Source organism: Homo sapiens, chromosome 1 (assembly GCF_000001405.40).
Source record: "Homo sapiens chromosome 1, GRCh38.p14 Primary Assembly".
In the NCBI taxonomy this organism is placed as follows: Eukaryota; Metazoa; Chordata; class Mammalia; order Primates; family Hominidae; genus Homo; species Homo sapiens.
Window position 1 is genome coordinate 83,087,380 of NC_000001.11, and position 21,477 is coordinate 83,108,856.

The window sequence follows — 21,477 nt, forward strand, 5'->3', positions numbered from 1 at the left end:
GGCTTTACAAGAATAGCTGACAGTTATCCCTCTGTGGGAAGCTTTATCTCCACTCTTTTTATGTACAGAAAAGCTGGCTCCAAGGGGTCCTTGATTCACAGATGTTCCCTAAAAGCTTTGACTGGGTTCATTGACAGTTTAGCTAAGCTGAAGCTTAATGTTGTCCATTGGACTACCACAGCCATTTAACCTCAGTATCTGCAATGCAGAATGAAAAATGGATGGGGTCGGTCCATTCAGAGCGCAAAACTCAATGCTCTTCTCACAGCTCTGGCTACTACTCCTTTGATGAAATGCTATATTTTTACTGACTTATTGCCAATGGACTAGCAATTGTAGAAAACCACAAGCTGGCAAATTGAAGATACCCCTTTTTGGAGCTGTGAATGACGGATACAAATCATGGCAAGGGAGCAATTCGTCACTCATGTAGATGTCCATGGTAAAATCTCATTCTCTGAGAAGACTGAATAGAATCAAACCTGAACACTCCCAATTGCCATCGTTATTGCCCAGATCCATCATGCTACTAAACACAGCACCATACCCATTATTATAGACTAGGAACAAAGTAAGGGACTCTATCTCTCTGACACAGAAGTTACGAATGCATGTCAGAAGTTGTGAATCCTGCTAAAGTTGACCAGTGTTTTAGTAGTGAAGGAGGCCACAACACATGAGGCATTGCTTTTATTCATTCCTGGAAAAATGACTAAGTTGAAACTTTTACTAACTGTTCTGGGCTAAAGTGCTGCCTCACTGCTGTCAGTGCCTTTTCAGGTCACAGTGTTGCTCTTCCAGTCCAATCAGCCAACTCTGGCCACACTACCATGGTTCTTGATCCTAATCTGTGTCATGTTTTCAGCTTTCTGATGTTACAGAGCTGCTGGTCAAGGTATTCAATGGGCTACCGTGCTCTGTAACACCCACAGGCACCTGGTCAGTTTGAGCATTGAAAGGATCTCCTCAAAAATCAACATAGGAAAATTTCCAGCTCTACTCTTCTCACCTCTTCCTTAGTAAGGCAGTTTGGTCACTGGATTTGGCTGTCTCTGAAAGACAGCATTCCCTTTGGCTGCTTCCTGGATAATAATCAAGATGAAAGGTGGGGGAACTATATAGACCATTTAGGATTCTGCCTTGACCATTCCTAGGCATGATTCTTCTTTCATTCCCTTGATTTAGAATGAAGGGTTTAGAAAGCCTGGTTCTTAACTCTCTTGGTGGCAGCCTAGTGAAAAGATGGTCTAGGTAATTCAAATTTAATTTTGGATCAGTTACTTAGATTCTCTTGATTGATTGACATGATCCTGTATCATAAGGATAATAACAACATTGCTGATGACCTTTCTCTCCAAGTCCCCTTACAGTAGCCCACATATACCAAAAGTGGGGGACATAATGGGTCTTTCTCATTTTTATAAAATTGTCCTGCCTCATTTACACATAAGCTTTCTGAAAAAAAGGTCTGCATGAAAGTACAAGATGATTGCCTAAAGACACAATGATGACTGCAGGAATAGAAAACACCAATTTTTGTGTAGTGGAGGGAAAGCCAAACCTTGGCACCTGCTATGGTTTGAATGTCTTTCCCAAAACTCATGTTGAGATTTAGTTGCCATTGTAACACTATTAAGTTGAGTGGTGATTATGTTATAAAGTCTGTGCCTTCATGAATGGATTAATGGATTAATGCTGTTACTTTGGAAGTGAGTTATCACAAGACTAGGTCTATTATAAAAGGTAGTTCCACCCTCTTTCTTTCTCTCTGTCTTGTTTACTCACTTGCCCTTCTGCCTTCTGCCTTCTGCCATGGAATAACACAGCATGAAGGCCCTCACAAGAAGCCTAGTCTCCAGAACCATGAGCCAAATAAATCTCTTTTCTTTGTAAGTTACCCAGTTTTGATATTGTTATGACAACAGAAAATAAGACAGCACCTATGGAAAGAATGCCTCAGACTCAAAGAGTTATGGGAGAAGAAGCTATATTAATTATTTTTTTCCAAACATAAGGACTAGTTTCAATTATTCACACTGAACTGCAAATACTAAAGCTTACTAGCCAGCCAGTAATGAGGCTAACTTGGAGGCAATGCCAACCCATGCCTTCTATATTAGTCACGGTTCTCTAGAGGGACAGAACTAATGTATGTATGTATATCTATATAGATAGATAGATGATAGATAGATATATCTATATATTTATAAATTAGAGTTTATTAACTAGTATTGACTCACACAATCACAAGATCCCATAATAGGCCATCTCCAAGCTGAGGAGCAAGGAAGCCAGTCCAAGTTCCACAGCTGAAGAACTTGGAGTCTGATGTTTGAGGGCAGGAAGCATCCAGCATGGGAGAAAAATGTAGGCTGGAAGGCTAAGCCAGTCTAGCCTTTTCATGTTTTTCTGCCTGTTTTATATTCGCTGGCAGCTGAGTAGATGATGCCCACCCAGATAAACGGTGGGTCTGCCTTCCCCAGCCCACTGACTCAAATGCTGATTTCCTTTGGCAACACCCTCACAGACAAATATGATATTTGATAAGTTTAAAATTATAAATTAACCTATCAACACAACAGCAAATATCTAGTTATCTAAATACAGTAAGTATTTTATTGGAAAGATTAAATGGGCATAGTAGACAATCAATTAAAATCGCCAGATTTAGCAAATAAAAATATATGATGCTGTGTTTAGTTTGAATTTCAGATAAATAACAAATATTGTTTTTAGTATAAGTATGCCCAAGATATGTCATGGGACATACTCAGATAACTTATTTGTGGGTTACCTGAAATTCCAATTTAACACAGCATTCTGTATTTTATCTGGTAACATTACACTCAATTAATGTTCTTTATAATCCCTACGATTGTTCTCAGTTGCAATCTTTAAAAACCTTAGGTATTTCCTCACCCCCTATTTCATGCCAAAGGAATAGCACAAATCCAAGTGAACCTCCTTAGCAACTTGGGGAATCTGTAACCACCAACGCCCTGGAATTAGTCCCACCCACCTGGGATATCCTGAAACTAAAGCCAAGCCAAGGTGAAAGGATTGTTTTGTGGTTATGTGTTCATAAGAATTTTAATCAGCAGCTACATTCCTTGTGAGGCCTTGGAACAATCTTCTGACCTTAGTGGAAACAAAAATTTTCCCTTTCAAATTTATTGCCGCTTAAGACCCACACTTTGCTCTAAAGGGACTGCCCAATACTTGGCATTGCTACCCTATAGTCAATAAAACCAAGATCAAGGTCATCAGCTCATGTTTCTTTTGCTCCATAGTGAATCTCTGAATCAGTGGCTCTCAAGTTTAGCTGCATCAGAATCACCTGGAGCACTTGATAAACACAGAGTGCTGGGCCCCACCCCCATGTTTTGATTCAGTAGGTCTGGGGAAAGGCTCAAAGGTCTCTGATGACACTGACACTGTGGGTCTGGGGACCACATTTTGAGAATTACTGCTCTAATTTAGAATTTCTAAAAGGAACAACATTACATTTGATTAACTGAGTGTGCTATTCATTTGGTATCTCTCAAAAGTGAGAAAGTGTTGGAGACAAATTAAGTTTATAATATTGATCACATGACATTTTAGTCTTTAAATTCTTTCTGAATCATTAAAGCGAGATTGCACTATGTGAAGTCTAAAGCTTAAAGTTCTTCCTCTTGTAATGTTTTGAAAATTGATAATATATGTTGTTATACGTATGATACCTCTCATGTCTAAAAATGCCAAATAATAAGGACATGCTATATTTTATGAAGCTAATTTTAAGAACATATTCCCAGTACACATAAACTTATATTTAGATGTAGACTATTAGCATTTTTAAAAATACACAAGAATAAAGAACAAAATCCTTCAAGTACAGTACAAGTTTTTTTGTACTTACAGTACTATTGAAGGAAGGTGGATGGGAAGAGGACAACATTCAATGAGTAAAATTATAAGCAATTCAGTTTTTGTTATTTCTCTAAATAACATACTTCCTCTTAGGCATTGAAGATATTTTAATAACTTTAACTTTGCTTTTTCTGTGAAGTGGCTAATCAGCAAGCACTTCCAAGTGTAATTTAATGAAACGTGAAAAAGTAGTTAAAGAATTTATTAAGCCTAGTATATTAAAATCTTCAAAAAAAATTCTATGTTGGACCAGCTGGCTCAAATAAGTAAAGCTAACACATCAATTTCAGCAAATACATAGCAGTGAATTTTGAAATTAGAATATAAAAATGTCAGCACTTAAAAATTTTAATCACTGAGTGTCACCTGCAACTCAAATTGACAGAGTGGATAGCAGCAAGGAATTAAGCATAGAGATTATTTTTACAGAATATAAAAAAAAGAGAACCCCTGTAAGCACTTTGAGTTTGTACCATCTCTTAAGATGCTGTTGCTGTACCCTTCAGCACATTATCTAATGATACACCAACTGATGTACAGAAAATTACATTAAGAAGGCTGGCATGTTTTAGAAGAAGCCTGTATATAACAATCAGTCCTCAGATCTCAAACCAAAATGAAGCTTTAAAAATAGTGGGTAATGTACAAACTTCTTAATAAGGCTTTAAATTCTGGGAAGTACTAAGTAAGTGTATCCTCATCTTTCATTAGCAATACTTATCATTAGATCAAAGAATAGGCATTATTAATTTATTAATAAATATAACAAGTATTTCTGAAGCTCCTACTATGTTTCAGGTCTTATTCTAGGTAGTTGGCATATTTAATCTCACTTTTTCCTCAAACAATATAAAATAAATCAAGGCAAGATTTTCAGATATGTGCAAGGTAGAAGCACTCTTGGCCATGCACTTGAATTTATAACCACTCCTTTCTAACCTCTATCAATATATATAGATTTATCACATAACTGATTTAAAAAAATGCAGAACAACCACAGCATATGCAATCTATTTCCACAACTCACCTACACCACAATACCAATTGGTTAATCCTATTCCATCCTATAGTTTAAACAAAGAGACACATAATGATCCTATGTATTATTGTAATTCAGCTCTTCTCTTGGGATGCCAAAACAGTGAGTTGAGACAAGGTCTATGTTTTTCCTTCTGACCTCTCAATTCTCCACCACCTCCAAAGGCCTACCCAAATCAGTGATGTCCAACTTTGTATTTTTTCTCTTTTATGTTAGTGTGCCATTTTAGTGAGAAAAGAAGAAAAGCCAGAAGTTGAGCCTGCTTTGGATTCACTTTTAGAATGATTTTTTATCTAAGAAAAAGCATGTCTGCACAAATGGATGACTTGCTCATAGGAATTGTATTTTGCAGTGTAGGGCTATAATCTTGGAGTAATATTAATTTGTAAACATTGTCTTTGGCACATATATTTGCCTTTGTGGGGTAAAGTTGATGACTTTAAGATAGTATTGGAGTGTCCAAAGTTCTTTTAACCAAATACCATTTTAATATCAATCTTTAAATGCTTTGCTAAAAACTGTACAAGAAAATTAAAATATCCCAAAGCTGTCTTGGATTGCATCCAAAAACAGGTTAGCTACCTTAGACATAAAAATATGTAACTGTCACATAATCACATATGTTGGAGAGTAAGGACAAAACTATTACATGACATTCAATATTGTTATGTTGGGAAAAGCAGAAATAGAAGCTTCTCACAGGGTCTTTGGCTCCTTTACCATTAACTCTCACCTCATTACTTGGTGTTCATATTTAGCAATTAAAAGTTCTGATTTTCTGATCCCGAGATGAGAGCGCCCTGGAACCAGAAAATAATGTAATCTAAAATACAAAATCTCACTAAAGAAAGTACAACTTTCCTAGATATAGATTATAAATATTTCCTTTTCTAACAAAGAATAACCATTTAAGCAAAATAGTACAAACTTAAACTTTTTAAATATTAACATTTAAACTGATATTTCTTTAGGTACAATTGCACATTCAAATATTCTTATTTGTATTCAATTATCTCTGTCTATGTCGTTTGTTATTGCCCAATTTAAGCAATATACTTCTCTTTAATTGATACTCCATCTTATCTTGCAACCTAGTTTTTCCGTCCTTTCACATTAGGGTATTTTTACTTTAAAAACTCAAATATTTGCTGTACTTGAATTTAGAAAATTATTCCAGCAACTACTCCTTAAATAGCTTAAGTAATTATCACTAGATCTTACCTTCATCTTTTCCATGAGAGAGAAGAGAGTATATACTTAAAAAAAATGAGTGTCAGTTCTCAAATTTGGCAAGTAATTCTAGTCTTCATGCTTATCCTATTACTTGCAAGCCAGTCAAAAGGAAGTGCAGTAGATGAACTAAGGAGAAATTCATGGGGCCTAAATGACTGACATTTACCAAGCATCTTACCAAATGTAACTTCAACAACTCTCTACCAATACATAAGATTTACTTGTTTTCATTCACAGAGAGCTTGGACAAAAAGTTGAAACAAGTTCATATCCTAAGCATGATGAATAAGCCATGGCAGCTTACACAGACTTGAAGGCCAACCACCTATGGGCTAGCACAAAGGAGTTCAGCCTTTTTTGAAGTGGGTGGTTTGACCTCTCTTTATTGTGGAAGCAAAGCAAATGGCCCCAAACCATCTGGTAAGTGAAGCTGGAATACCTGCTATGGTAGGCACTATAGGGCTGTTTATATATAATCCAGACCTCCTCCTCCAGGCAAATAAGGGATTGTACTTCTCTTCCTTCTTTGAAATTAGGCATGGTCATGAGGTCTGCTCTGGCCAGTGAAAAAATGAGTAGGAGTGATGCATGTCTCACCCAGGTGGAAGCCACAAGAGCCAATGTGTGATGCGCCATGCAACCTTCCACTTAGCACACAATTGCGGCAGTATGGATTGAGCTGAAGCATCTATGAGATGGCGGTCCCTTGGATTGCTATAATGAACAGAGTCCTATTGCTGACCTGTTTTGTTCACATAGACTGAGTAGAAAATCTATTTATTGTGTTAGATCATTGAGCTTTTGGAATTGTTACCACAGCAAAACGTAGCCTGCCCTGACAGATACACAAGCCACCCTCTATTTGGGGAAAGTCAGGTTAGGTCACTTAATAAATTTTCCATTTATCTTTGAAGCTCAACATATACCATAAAGTTGCACAGAAACATATTTGGCCCTGAGGAAACCATATAGTTGGTGACCTGAGTAACTGGGGGTGAATAGGGAGTAATTTTCCACTTAACTAATTTCATTTCAAAACAACACAACTCCTAATGCCTTAACCATAGCTTAGCAACCCAGCAACTTTTACAAATTACTGGTAAAAGAATTCTTTAGGAAATGATTTCTGAATATCCCTATGTCTCTTACATGGAGGAAGTTTACTTAACAAAATTTATACAAGAATTGTAAGTAGAGATTTAAATTACATTTCTTTTCACATAGAAAAAAAATCAGCTTCTTCTGTGGTTATCAAGACTGAGAAGCAGGGATTATAGATAAGAATGTTATATAACCAGAATGATGTTTTGATTTAGAAAAGAAAGAGAACACATTTTCCAGTGTCTGGCACAATTCAGTCCATTCATCGAGACCATGAAACACAGTTCAATCCTTCGACCTCAGTTTCTTCTTTATGAAAGGGGCAATGGTGCTCACTATAAGAGGGCTATAACGGTTCATTGCCATTATTATTGTTGTTGGCTGAGATACAGGTGTAAGAAAATATATCAGTCAAAGCTTTAAAATATGGGACTTGAATGCTTTGTGATTTAGATATTTTTCTTCCTATCTTTGTGTCAAACACTATCCACTGAAGTTTTGAATGTTTAACTTATGTGGTTGTTAAAATATTGAAGTCCAGCACAAGCAACTCTATTATAATGCAAATCCAGTTTCTATTATCATCTAATAAAATCGTGTGTTAGAGGGAGCAGTATCTGAAGATTGTCCCTTAAAAAAGCACTTGGGCCTGAGCCCTAATGACACAACCCAGATTCCAAGCCAAATAGAGGTCTGTGCTTTCATCAGGTAGCTCCTTTCTCTTCTTCTCTCTTCTTTCCTGTGTTACATTCTGGAGTGATAGTCCTTCATGAAGAAATAAGAGAATGGTTTAGTGTGCCTGCTTTCTCAATAAGTGTGAGGGGATTGTGAAAAGTGGAGATTTTTAAATTTTCTTTTTGACTTTTACATTCAGGGGGTACATGTGCAGGTTTGTTACATGGGTACATTGCATGTTGCTGTGGTTTGGTGTACAAATGATTTCATCACCCTGGTAGTGAGCATAGTACTCAATAGGTACTTGATAGTTTTGCTACTAAATAGTAGGGAACATTCTCTCCCTCCTCCCACCTGCAGTGTTTGGTTCTCAGTTCCTGCGTTAATTTGCCTATGATAATCGGCTCCAGCTGCGTTCGTGTTGCTGCAAAGAACATGATTTCATTTTTTCATGGCTGTATAGTATTCCATGGTGTATATGTACTACATTTTCTTTAGCCACTCCACCAGTGATGGGCATCTAGGTTGATTCCATGTCTTTGCTATTGTGAATAATGCTGTGATGACCATATGGGTGCATGTGTCTTTTTGGTAGAACGATTTATATTCCTTTGGGTATATACCCAGTAATGGGATTGGTAGGTTGTGATATTTCTGCTTTAAGTTCTTTGAGAAATCTCCAAACTGCTTTCCATAGTGGCTGAACTAACTTACATTGTTGCTAAACAGCTTCACTCCATTTTGAATCCACATCACTGACTGGACCCTAAGCGTTTTTAAGCATCAGGCAAAAGACAGTCTACTCAGGCTCCTCTCTATCTTAACAAACACTTGAATTAAAAATGTTGTGCCTAACAGCAAACATTTCTTGGGCAATTTTATGGAATGTAAAGGAAAAGAAAACTACACATTTTTGAGTCTACTATGTGTTGGGTGCTTTTCTAACAGTATCACACTTGACCCTTCCAATTCATTGAGTTGGATAGTGTTACTTCAACTTTTCAAACGAAAAAACTGCTTTTTTGGAGAAGTAGAAGAAATTCACCAAATTTATCTGTTGCTAGTTCACTCTTGTGTCCAGACTCACGATCTCTCTATGGCACCATACTGCTTTCTTTAAGGAAATTACAATTTAAATAAGCCAAGCAATTTACCCTACCTCTACAAACCTCAGTTACATCCTTTGGAACATAATGATAATTATAATTCATAAAATTCGGGAAAAGTAAATAGAGGAACAAACAGGATTAATTGTACAAATGAAAAATTCACATAGGCTGTTCTATATGATAAGAGTAAAGGAATGTGATAGATCGGAGTGTTTGTGTAGAAATGAAGTAGGACAGAAACTTCAAGGTGAAGTGTGGTCAAGCTTCTTTTACTCTTGAATTTCAAAACTTTGTATTTTACAATATGAGAAATGATAAAAGATTGATTAGCTGTTAGGTGGGGTGCAAAGTAGTAGACAGATATGAAACCTGAACATTATCTGTATAATGTATTTTAACATGATTATTTCTTCAAGGATCTGCTGTTATCACTAGAGGAATTATTGCCCAGAATGTGGACCAAAGGTTAGAAGACTCCACATTGGAATCCTGGGTCCGCCGTTAAATAATGAGGAACAAGCACTACCTCATAAGATCTTACCCTCATCATTTATAAAGTGATGATTTAAAAATAAGTCTTTCCTATGTTGTGATCCTAAGGATGCAATGTAATAAAGCATTTAAGATCATAGGCCTTTGGGGGCAGAAGAAACTGGCCTACATAGTCCTCTTCTAGCCATGTTTTAGCTCTCTTATCTTAGAAAAAATAAAATCTCTTTAAGCCTCAGTTTCAATAACTGGAGAATAGGGAAAATAATAGTTCATTCCTCATAGGGTTGTTGAGAGCATTAACAATAGATAAAATTCTGCATATATATAATTCAAGACTTGGCATATAGATTGTTTTAAAAAATATATGTAATTATAGTGAGTAATATACTCATAGGCATTCCACAAGGAGACATCCAAGTGTGGTGTCAGTCTTTCTAAGTTTGACAAACAAGTAAGCTGTTTAAAGCCGACCACCCTCTAGAATGAGAGGTTGGGATTACTGTGGACTACAAAGATGTATGGCAAACAGTATTTTATATTCTTCTTGGATGTCCTCCTCTTCTCAATTCCCCAGAATATAAAGTCATATTTTGGGGGGACTGTTTGTGTTTTGACTATTAGAAACATAAGCTGACTTAGGGCATGCAGTGAGGAGTACCGAAGGCAAAAAACAAACGATGAGACCCCTTTCAACAGCCTCGCATCTAGGGAAAAAGGCACATGCTGTGTGTCAGCCCAGCCCACCCTGGGAGAGGAAAAGACTACTAGTGAAGTAGTAATGTTAAAGAGAAGAAAAAGTGAGTGTTTTTTTGGTGGGGAACCATTAACACTTTCCAAAAATACACAAAACCAACTTGAAGTTCAATTAAGGGCTGCAAAAGGGAGAAGAGTATGCTATATCTTCAGCATCTGGACCAGAACTAGTACATGAAGTAATACATATCTGTCACTGACAGCTTTCTTGGCTATTTTTAATTCAGTCTAATTAGTCATGTCTTCTCCTGCAAGTATAGGAATCAGTCAGAATGTGGGTAACAGTTATGAAACTACCTTTTGGAGAACTCCTTTGCATATTATTGTAGAAGACAACCATAAAGTCCTATAAATGATAGTCTCCATAAATGTCAACCCAGATAATTCAACTGATGTCAAGAAGCAGAGGTTGGATGGGCTGTCATACATACTGGGGTTGAATACAGCATATGACATCAAAATCATGGCTTTGTAAACATTTCCTTCTTCGCATGCAGATTTAATTATCTTGAACCCCAGAGAAGAGCAAAGCTGGGGCCAGCATCATTTCAAAGGAAAGAAAAATGTGTTCCTATTTTTACAGCCTTGTAAAAGCAAGGAAATGTCTGAAGAGAAGAAAAAATAGTTTCGAAGAAGAATGCAATATGCCCCAACCCAAACTTATTCAAGATGTCATTCCTGGATAGAATTCTACACTCTCAGCATTAGACAGGCTGCTTAAGCAAAGGCAGGTTCTACATAGACTGTCATCTGAACATGATATTGATGGATCGTTTTTACAAACAGGCTGGACTGCAATGAAAAGCCTTGTGAATGTGCTAAGACTGCTTTAAGAAGTCACTGGAGACCAGAGTGCCTGAAGGAGAGGATCTAAGCCAAGTCCTATGAACAGTTCATAATATGTGAATAATGAAGCACTTCAGGAAAAAAAAAACATATATATGATGAAGATATTCCCAAAGACATTTCTTGTGTCACTAATATTTTCGAGAACCCTCCTAGCAGCAACCTTATTAGGTGTTTCAGGATATGCAATACGTTTTTTTCATGACACTCTGATCCACAGTTCTTTTTTTTTCTCTCAAGTCACATAGAACAGGCTTCCATTGCACTAAAGCAGGTAGAAGTCTTGTCTGAAATAAGCTTGAGACAATATAATGAATCAACTCAATGTAGAAACATTATACACACACGTGTAACTAGAACTGTTGGGGCCTTTCAAGGGCAATAAGGAAAGAGAGGATATTGATGAAATAAAAAAATCTGCCTTCTTGCAAATGGAAAACCTGCAACTATTGCAAACAATCCCACCCAGAACCTAATTTCAACACAGAACATATGACTCAGACCAAAAGGCATTTGGTCATTTTTTGCTCACTCACCTGCCCAACTACAATTTTTCTTGGAGCTTTAATATTCAATTGCAAGTTCTGGAATTGAAATTTAAGGCTTTGAAAATATATTAACTTAAATTATTATCTAGTTTACTGATTTTTCATCACTTAAATCAGGTTTTATAAGAGGAGTTTGTTATTGTACACTCCCAGAGATTTTAAGTTCAAAAGAAATGAACTGAAATGGCTTTATTTAAATTGCAGATGGCTACTTAAAAAGATTCTGGTTAGAGCATGTTCAGATAAAAAATAAAGACAGGGTACCATTATTTTTCAAATATAATCCTCAGCTATTGTTACCAACATATGCCTGCCATAGGATTACAGAAAGGAAAAGTAGGAAGAAGTTTAAGGGGTCATCCTGCTCATTTTTTGGCATTTAAGTCTTTATTTAAAACAAACAAACAAAACAAACAAACAAAAAAAATAAGACAGAACTTCCGTATACCCTCTTAGCAAGCTCTTTTAGTACATCTGAAAGCCTATTCCTTTAGTCATATGTTCACTGAATATTAAACATCACTGTTTACCATTCTTATAGGTAGCCCTTTGCATGGTGAAGACTTAATTGTATCTATTTATAGACAGTTTTTCAGTTGCTGAATCACATTCTTATAGGCCTACTTTGATCTTCACAAAATTCTTTTGTGATAGACAGAGCAGGTCAACCCTCAGGCGCCAGGGCAGGGTTTATGTTTTTCATCACTGATGCTAAACATATAGAATGTGCTTAATGGTATTTCTTGAATAAATGGTTGAAGTATCCCCTTTCACACAACATGAAAACCAAGGCTCCGTGAGATTCAGTGAGATTCCCAAGGTCTATTTGTTGAAAAAGTACCATTGAGGCTGGCTTTGAGGGATTTTGATTATTACTCTGGAGTTCTGTGCACTCACTAATTTATTAGGTCTTCATATAACTTACACATACTACCTTCTAGTATTCATTCCCAAACTCTAAAAAAAAAAAAAAAAAAAGATAAAGAAAAAGAAAAAAAAGCTTATGAGGCAGAATAAAAATGAAAAATCTATTGGCTTCTTTATTTTGAAATCTTAATACTAAATTGTATTGTAAAGACCAAAAAAAATTAAAATAATAAAATACATTCTTTTCTGAGAATTCATTCTTCATAGGAGAAAATATTGGCTCAAGAATAATAGTTAAATGTTAAGTATTCTATATAAGTTGTCTATTGATTGATAATAACATTGTTTTAGATATATTAGATGCTTGTTGACTCAGCACTTTCACATATATTACTTTCTGAACCCACGTAAGAGCATTTATTCCCATTTTACAGATAAGGAAGTGGTGAGGAAGAGGCTATATGATTGCATCCAGGTCTTAGGTCTTAATCTCAGGTTGTCTGCCTCTACGGAATGTTGGCTGTGACACTGACATTTATCAATTTTGATTCCTATTTTGAATGATGACCCTTTTAAGCCTTGTTGCATTTGTCTAACTATAATTCTTTTTTTTACTGAGAATTTCAGGGTAAAAAGGACACTTGCCAAAAAACCTAAGGGAATGCAGAGTACGACCATATGAAACTGAACAGTGCTGACTTCTATATTTTACTATTTGGCGGGGTTATTCAATGAATATGGGAATGGGTGCCTAGCCAGGAGACGTATGTGTAGAAAAGAGCCACCAGAAGTCATTCTGATTAAAATATCTCTTCTCTTATAAATATTTGAGCACTTAGAAATTAATCTGGACTAGGAAACTCCTCCTTTTAAAAGCAAATATCCTGGGAAGATCAAATCTCTAAGTCATAGTGACAATTATTTTAATAATCACATGAATATCAAGCTGAAAATAAGTAATTCAGGAAATGGGAGTTTTGCTGGGCAGAGGAAGAAGAGATCATTTGAGAGCATTGAGGATATTAAGCACCAGTGGTAAGGGAAGAACTTTGTACAGCTAGAAAGCATTAGAAGGGCTCTGAATATTAGGAAAGTTGAAGGCAAACAGGCGGTCAATAGGTAATTGTACACTAGAGGTTACTTCTGCACTGGGCCCTGGATAGCAGCCGTGTGTTACTGAAAATTATCTTCTGTACATGGCTGTTAATTTTGGATATCTAGATTCCAAATAACTTTTAAGGATACAAATATAAGTCTTCTTAAGTCAGCTCTGTGTCTCTGCAGTCTAATGTAGCTTAATCTTCTGTAAGTCACTGCTACATTAAAGTCAGAGCTGTCCTAATCGGTTGCTATAATGTACAGGCACACACACACACACACACACATATGCACACATACATATATACACAAGCAGGCACTAATAAGGAAGATGAGAAGAAAGGGCTAATTTCCAGACACTTGGCAATTCTAATTTTAAAATTCGAACACTCCCTCTCTTAAGATCCTTTCCTTTTTGTCTTTCTCAACTTCCCTTCTCATTCATCCATTCAACTAGTATTTTCTATGCTCGAATTATCTGCAAAGTAGTGTGTTGAATTTTAGAGATTTTGTAATGAACCAACTGACTCCTGCATCGAGGAGCTCAAATTCCAGTGTGGTGCTGTAATGGGAATATAGATAGGACGGTATGGGAGCAAGAAAAGTGTAGTCCTTATTGAGCTGGAGTGTTAGGAAACTTTTAGGAGATCATGTTAGTTGAGTCTTGCTTTTCAGGTGGGGTTCACATTTCTGCAAGTTATCAACTCAGTTGTTTCTGAGGCTCTGTTAAGTTCTTGCTAAACCCAAATTCTCCCTACAGGAAAAATCCTACAGAGGCTGGTAAATCTAATTATCATTTGGGCATTGAATTTTAGCCATCAAACCACTACACCATTTCAGGGAAATCTACAGCCATTTTTCTTCACCTAATGACAAAGGTATACATGCAGTTAGTCAACAGCAGTCAACATATTCCTATAACAAAAGAAAAAAGATAGGTTTTTTAATGTTGAATTAATATAATAATATCAGTTCTCATATTAATGAGATATAATAATATTGAATTCTAATAATAATATCAGTTCTCATATTTCAAATTCATTTAAATATGGGTTTATCACTCTATCTGACCCTTGCAGTTCTTTATGTAGTAAGTATATATAAATGCAAGCTCTGCATAATGATTTATTGAATGAAAGACCAACAGTGTGATCTTAACTGATTTTTTATTTTTCTTAGTTGTCTACGTCTTGATAGAAGAGTAAAACAGGATCTGCTTTACATGATCAGTTTCAGGCCATTAATATTTGAAAGATTTTTCTAGGCATTTGTTGGAAAATACTTTTACATTATAAGCACTTTGTGGTGTGGTCACTTTTTAAGGTTTAGGAACTGTCTGTCTATGTCTAAGAATTACTTAGAGATATTATTAAGACTTAAGCTCCTAAGTCACTTATATGCACGCTGGGTGGGGAGTGTGTGGGAGGGAGAAAAACATTGAATTGTTTTGTTGCTCTTAGTTCAATAAAGTGAAGAAAAAAAATGGGGACAATCTCTTGGATTTGTAGCAACAATGGGATAGAACATATGATAGAATGAGGGAGACACAGGAGGGGGCTGAATGGTCCCCAGCCTCAACAAATGTGTGTAATGGGCCCTAAATTTAAAAGGAAAAAAAAAATTCCTAGGTGACTAATGTGGTTATAATGAACAATTAAAGCAGGTTAACAAGCTGCAGAGTGCATTCTTATTCAACCAGCAGAAATCAGTCATTGGGGCTTTCAAGAGATAAGAGAAACTATTGACAGGCTTGAGGAGAGCAGCTGAAATTACACAGTCACTCCACACTCTTTATACATTTGTCACTAGTGGATGTAAATATTTATGGCTCAGATGACAAACGACTTACCTTATTTGGTGATTTGAGCCTCTGCTGCAATTCCAGGGTCACCAGAGTGGTGTTAAGTTTCTGCTGAGATCTGGGCTGGATTAAGGCTAGGGAGTCGTAGCAGCTGCAAATGAAAATGTGTCATAACCCATTCCACCCCTATAATCCTCCAACTTTCACACATGTCCCCAAAGCAATCCCCTGCCCCCCACCAGAAAAATATTAAGAAAATCTGTTTCTTGGGCTGTAAGGGGAAACTCCAGTATCTGGAATTTAAAAGAATGTGGAGTGCAGAGAAGGAGCTAAACTAAGCACGTTCAGAGTGTGCATAAAATTAAAACACACCAACCTCATCTGTTGAACAGCATGGCGCTCTGGCAGTTCATAAGCAAATGTTTAATAATATTTATAGTTCAGCTAAATAAGGAATTAATAAAGAAAAAAGTGGATTGTCCTGGATGAGATCAACTCGGTATGCTCTCCCAGATGTTGGTTTTAGGTTTAGGTAGCATAGAATCACCTATGGTCACCAAAGAGTGCAGGAGAGTTTGGTAAAGGAGCTCAGCCCAGGGAATGCCTTTAAAGAGATAATCTTTACATGCTTTCCTATGCTTCGATAAAATTCTGTGCCACTGGTCAGGGAGACAACACTTTTTCCTTCTGTTTTCCAACTGTGATCCTTGGTTACAACCACAAGAATGTGAAGAAAAATCTACTTAAAATGGTCTTTTAGGGGTAGAACTTATACCAGATGAGTTACAATTACAGAATATTAGAGATGTTTTTTGTCCTAGATACTGGGTCTTGAAACTACTTTCCTTGAAACTATTAAAACCTTAAGTGGATTTTTAACCCCCTGAAGTTGACTACACTGCTGTGCATCCAGACTTAAAGCTGCCCTGAGGTTCTCTTGATGGGAAGTTTTCTCAACTGACAGCTCCCAGATTTGAGGAAATAAGTCTATAACCATGTATTTATATATATACACATATATATAATATATGTATGTATGTATATATATGTATATATGTATATGTATTATCTATCTATACATATATATGCATATATATAGAATATATATGTATATATGCATATATACATATATATGTACGTATATGTATATATGCATATATATACGTATATATATGTGTATATATGTGTATATATGTATATATGTATATATATGTGTATATATATATTCTCTGATCAAGGCATTTTTATACTACTACTTGGGGGAAAATGACTAGAAAGCCTTCTTTTAGAAAGAAAAAAATTCATAAGAATTAACATTCCAAGAATTACATGGAAATTACGATAAATTTTCCTTTAACTAATCTTCTGTGCACCAAGAGATCCACATTTATATGCAGCTTTTTTCTACCCAATACAGGTAAGTACAACAGAAATTGAAGTTGCGTTGGCCATGGTGATGCCCTCTCTAGATCCCCTTTAGAGAAAGAACTTGCTGTTTAAATTCCCCTTCAAGAAAGACTTTTCCCAGCTGCTAAGGTTGCTGTTGGCAGGCAAGTGTCAGCTGGTAGCCCCTTCAGGGATGGCTTCAGCTGCAGAGAACTTTCTTACCTAAGGCAGTGCCCTTAAGAAAGCAGCCCACTTCAAATGACTGCTGGAGTATTTATACAAATGCCAGGTCATTTCAGCCAATGCATGACAACATTAAGATACGGTTTTAGCTCTAAAGTATCTCCATGAGGTTGGTCATTGGCTGAGGTTGTCATTAGGCCAGCATCACTCCTGCCAGAATCTGCTCCCTTCCTCTCCCTTCTATAGTTGTTGATTTGCCTCATGATCTATCTCAGTCTCCTTTCCAGAAAACCCAACCTATGACACATGGTCATAGACAAACGTGAAGATGTTGGCTCCAGCTTTAGGGGAGAAAGTAACTTGTGCTGACTTGGCCTCCCAGTGGAGATCATCATCTGCTTGTAGAATTCCTCAATCAAAGAGTTAGGCAATGGATGACTCTCTCTCTAAATCAGGGGCAGATCATTTAGAACTAAGGATGACATAGAAGTCTTAACCTTGACTTTCTTATTTCTCAATCTCAGCAACCTGTTGTTGCTCTAGGATTTAAATATGTGGAAGCTATCTGTAGAATTCACATAAGCCAAATAAAGTTTGGTAAAGATGATAATTTTAAAAGAAGGAACATGCATATATCCTAGTTTTGCTTGGCAATTTTTGTGTGCTCAGTTTATTATTCTTTGCCTTTAGATGTGTTCGCTGCATTTCTTTATCTCGAGCTCCAGAATCAATCCTGGTCCCCAAAATGAATGATTTAAAAGCCTGTAAATCACTGATTAAGCATGATAAGCCTTTGTATGGTTCTACTAGGGTCTTAAGTGCCCTGATTTCTTTGAGACTTAGCTTTTAATTTGTTTTCTAGAGAGTAAATCTCAATAATGTAGCCTAAAATATATACCAGGAATAAATGCTCTACTGCTAAATGCCAATCTCTGCTTATGAAATCTTGGTTCCTCTTTTGTACCTCCCCACTGGCTATCAGTGACCTGTAGAGTTTCTTGCAGATCAGGTGATAGTATCAGTCAAAGAAGATCATTACCCAAAGGCCAAGGAACTTGCATTCTTATCCCTGAATGGCCTAATTATATTAGTAGAATAAAATTTCCATTTCTACTCATAAATAATTTCTAAGGGGAAAAAAGGCCATAGCTTGATAAAATTAAAGGTTTATGGGTCAAGCCACCTTTAAACTCAGCTACTATTTTTCACAGCACAGGTCTTTATTCTTCCCTTTCCTGTATCTAACCCCTACCCCATTACCAATTTGATCAAGCACAAAGAAGAAACAGACTCAAGTTCAATTGGCCTAGTCTGGCTGAAAATAATCTGGGGAGAAAAGAAAAGGTCAAGACCATAGCAAAGTTCTTTTCATTAAGAAGATGTCATAAGCAGAGCATAAACACTGTGATCACTAAGAGCATGGAATAATATTCACATTGACAGAATCTTAGCATAAATAAAAGAGTTTCATTAAATTGAAATGAAAAAGTTCAGTGACCCTTACCACATCCAAGGATATTCCCAGAATTTAGCAAAAAGAAGCAAATATATATATATATATATATTAAGAGAATGTTTTCAAGACTTCTTTCTAAAATGATTGTGGCAATTACAGGCACAATCTGGCAGGAGGTACCATGGATCTTGCCACCCAGGCAAGACTCATCTCATTGGTCACCTCTTTGCTCCATCTCTAAAATTTCCTCTTTCATTTCTTAAAAATGATGCTATGTTTCTCTCTTGCTTACATCTATCAAACCTAATTTTTGGAACTTTTCTTCCTGTGCTGTACTTGATTAAATGGAGTCTTAACCCCTTTTATCTTGTTGGAATTATATCATCTGGCCAGACATTTCTCTTTCTGCCTGGAGTCTTAATGGCTGGCTCATTCCTTATATTTCTTTCATTAACCTTTTACCATCATCAATATTGGCAGAAGAATGTACTTAATACGAATACATTTACAAATATAAAATATACTTATTTTTTCTCAAACCCAAACTTCACAATTCTGGGAAAGAACACAAACTGTCAGGGAGCCTTGAGCTAAGTGGCTTCCATGGAGTCAGATATATTAGCTTTCTTTACACAGAGGGCAATGTCGGGAGGAAAGTTAGGGGGCAGAAGAAGGAGGGGTCTTCCTAAAACACACTCTCAATTGGATAGAGTAATTTTTTGACACATGAAAACTCCTTAGGCATTTAACTTTTGTTGTCAGATAAATTTCTGGCAATATCTAAGCAGACATCTTGAGAATTAATATCTAAAACTAAGTTTCTGGCCCCAAACCTCAGTGCAGTGGTTTAAAAAGAAAAACAAATCATCCGGCCCACCACGGTGGCTCATGCCTATAATCCCAGCACTTTGGGAGGCCGAAGTGGGCAGATCGCTTGAGGTCAGGAGTTCGAGACCAGCCTGACCAACATGGAGAAACCCCGTCTCCACTAAAAAAAATTACGAAATTAGCCGGGTGTGGTGGCGCATGCCTGTGATCCTAGCTACTCCGGAGGCTGAGGCAGGAGAATCGCTTGAACCCGGGAGACAGAGGTTGCCGTGAGTCGAGATTGTGCCATTGCACGCCAGCCTGGGCAACAAGAGTGAAACCCCATCTCAAAAAAAAAAAAAAAAAAATCATCAGACCCTATAGGTGTAAGTTTGTGAATAGTTAAAAGAACAGCCTTAGTTCCTGTTTCATTTTTTTATTTGGAATTCTTGCCACTCTGTCACTGAACATCTTGAGTTTGTTTTGCATATCATCAACTGTATGAGATGAAGGTTTTTTTTATCCTTTATTAACTATGCAATCAAAGTATCAGGCCCTGCATGATTCCCCAAAATTTGTGGTTTTCAGATCAGCAGTGCCCTAGTTCAAGAAGAAAATTGCTTTCAGCCAGTATTATTCAAAGAGTCTTGTTTCCATTTTATCTTTTATTTAACACTGCTGTGTCATCTAGGGGCCCGTTCACAAGGACTCCAATTATTTGATAGGCAGCAGCCAGTGACATTTTTCTCTCGTTTTCTCATCTGATAGGCATAAGTTAAAATTTATTTTTATTAAAAAATTAGGCACCTACTTAGAGGTTGGGGAAGTTTACATGAGGGCCACAAAGATTTCACTGTGAAGCAAATTTTTAAAAAAAGAAAAGATCTCTCTGAAATGAAGACTGCTGCACAATTACCTGAAGAGAGCCTATAGCCATGGCTTAAACCACCTAGCTTATCTCTCTCTTGATCCCCTGATGACTGACAGACTGATAGCAACCTAATATACCTAGTGTTTGAACAGAGGCCCTTGGTTACTTCTTGGCAAAAGTACAAATAAGCCATTGGCTTTTCTTTTGTCTTGAATTTGACTCAGTCAACTTCATTCAGGCACTGGTTATAAAAGCCAATCCAAAAGTTGTTTTTAAAAGTTACTAGATGATTGTCCTTTAAGAATGGATAATCTTCCATAAAATGTTGAAGCATGTCTCTCTGCTTTTTGGCGCACCTCTAACCAGGTCTACACCTTGATGATGATGACATTTTTAAGCCAAATGTGGGCCGAACACACAGTTTATAGGAATCATTTATTCCCTGCCATAATCCTATGAAGTAGGCCTTATCATTCCTACCTTACAGAAAGTAAATAGGCACTATCATTCCTATCTTATAAGAAATTGAGGATTGAGATGTTAAGTAACTTGCACAAACTTATATATATAATAGTTGGTAAATCCAGAGTTAGAACCCAGAAAGTTAAAACTACAAAAGCTGTGCTCATGAACACTTTGCCCCACTGCATTTTATACTTATCTTCATCTACTTATCTAACCATCTATTTATGTTTTTGTGAAATACATGATCATGGTAAATTATCAATAACATTAAAAAATAAAATATTTGCTTATTTTCCCTCAAAGGGAGAAAATTTTCTTGACTATCACTTAACACCTCATTTATTCTCTTCCAGAATTCACATTTTCTTTTTCTCATTCATTCACTCTTTGTCATTTAATATCCTACTTTTTAATTTAACATTATACATGAGCCTTTTATGTCATTAAACATAATATTCTTCAAAAATCTGATCTTAATGGTAACACAATATTCTATTAAATAGCCATATTTGACATGTATTTTATGTTGAGAAATAAGATCTTTTCCTTCTGGGAAGTACACATTTCTTATTCTCTTTCCTTTCCCACAGTCTCCAGGTGTGAGCACATAACTCAGGCCTGGTCAATCAAAGTGCCATATATTTTAACCATTTTTCTTTTCTCTTCTTTTTTTTTTCTTGAGATTGGCATGTAACTCAAAGTGTTTTAATGTGAACTCTCAAAAATGTTTACTGGTTCTGTTGGAAAGACACTCTTTCTGTTAATGTTCCTAAGTCGGCAAGTCTAGAGTTTCTGGTGAGTAGCTATCTGAGAATGGAGATATCACTGCAGAGAG

At 36.4% G+C, this 21,477-nt stretch overlaps 1 long non-coding RNA gene across 1 annotated transcript in view; it reads left to right on the plus strand.

Annotated features, from left to right (window-relative positions):
- Positions 1–21,477, plus strand: part of LINC01362 (long intergenic non-protein coding RNA 1362) — a 263,633-nt gene that overhangs the window by 184,197 nt on the left and 57,959 nt on the right. The window contains exons 8-9 of the long non-coding RNA NR_147074.1: positions 6,422–6,604; positions 9,486–9,598. This is a non-coding gene — a long non-coding RNA (long intergenic non-protein coding RNA 1362). The remainder of the gene's footprint in view (positions 1–6,421; positions 6,605–9,485; positions 9,599–21,477) is intronic.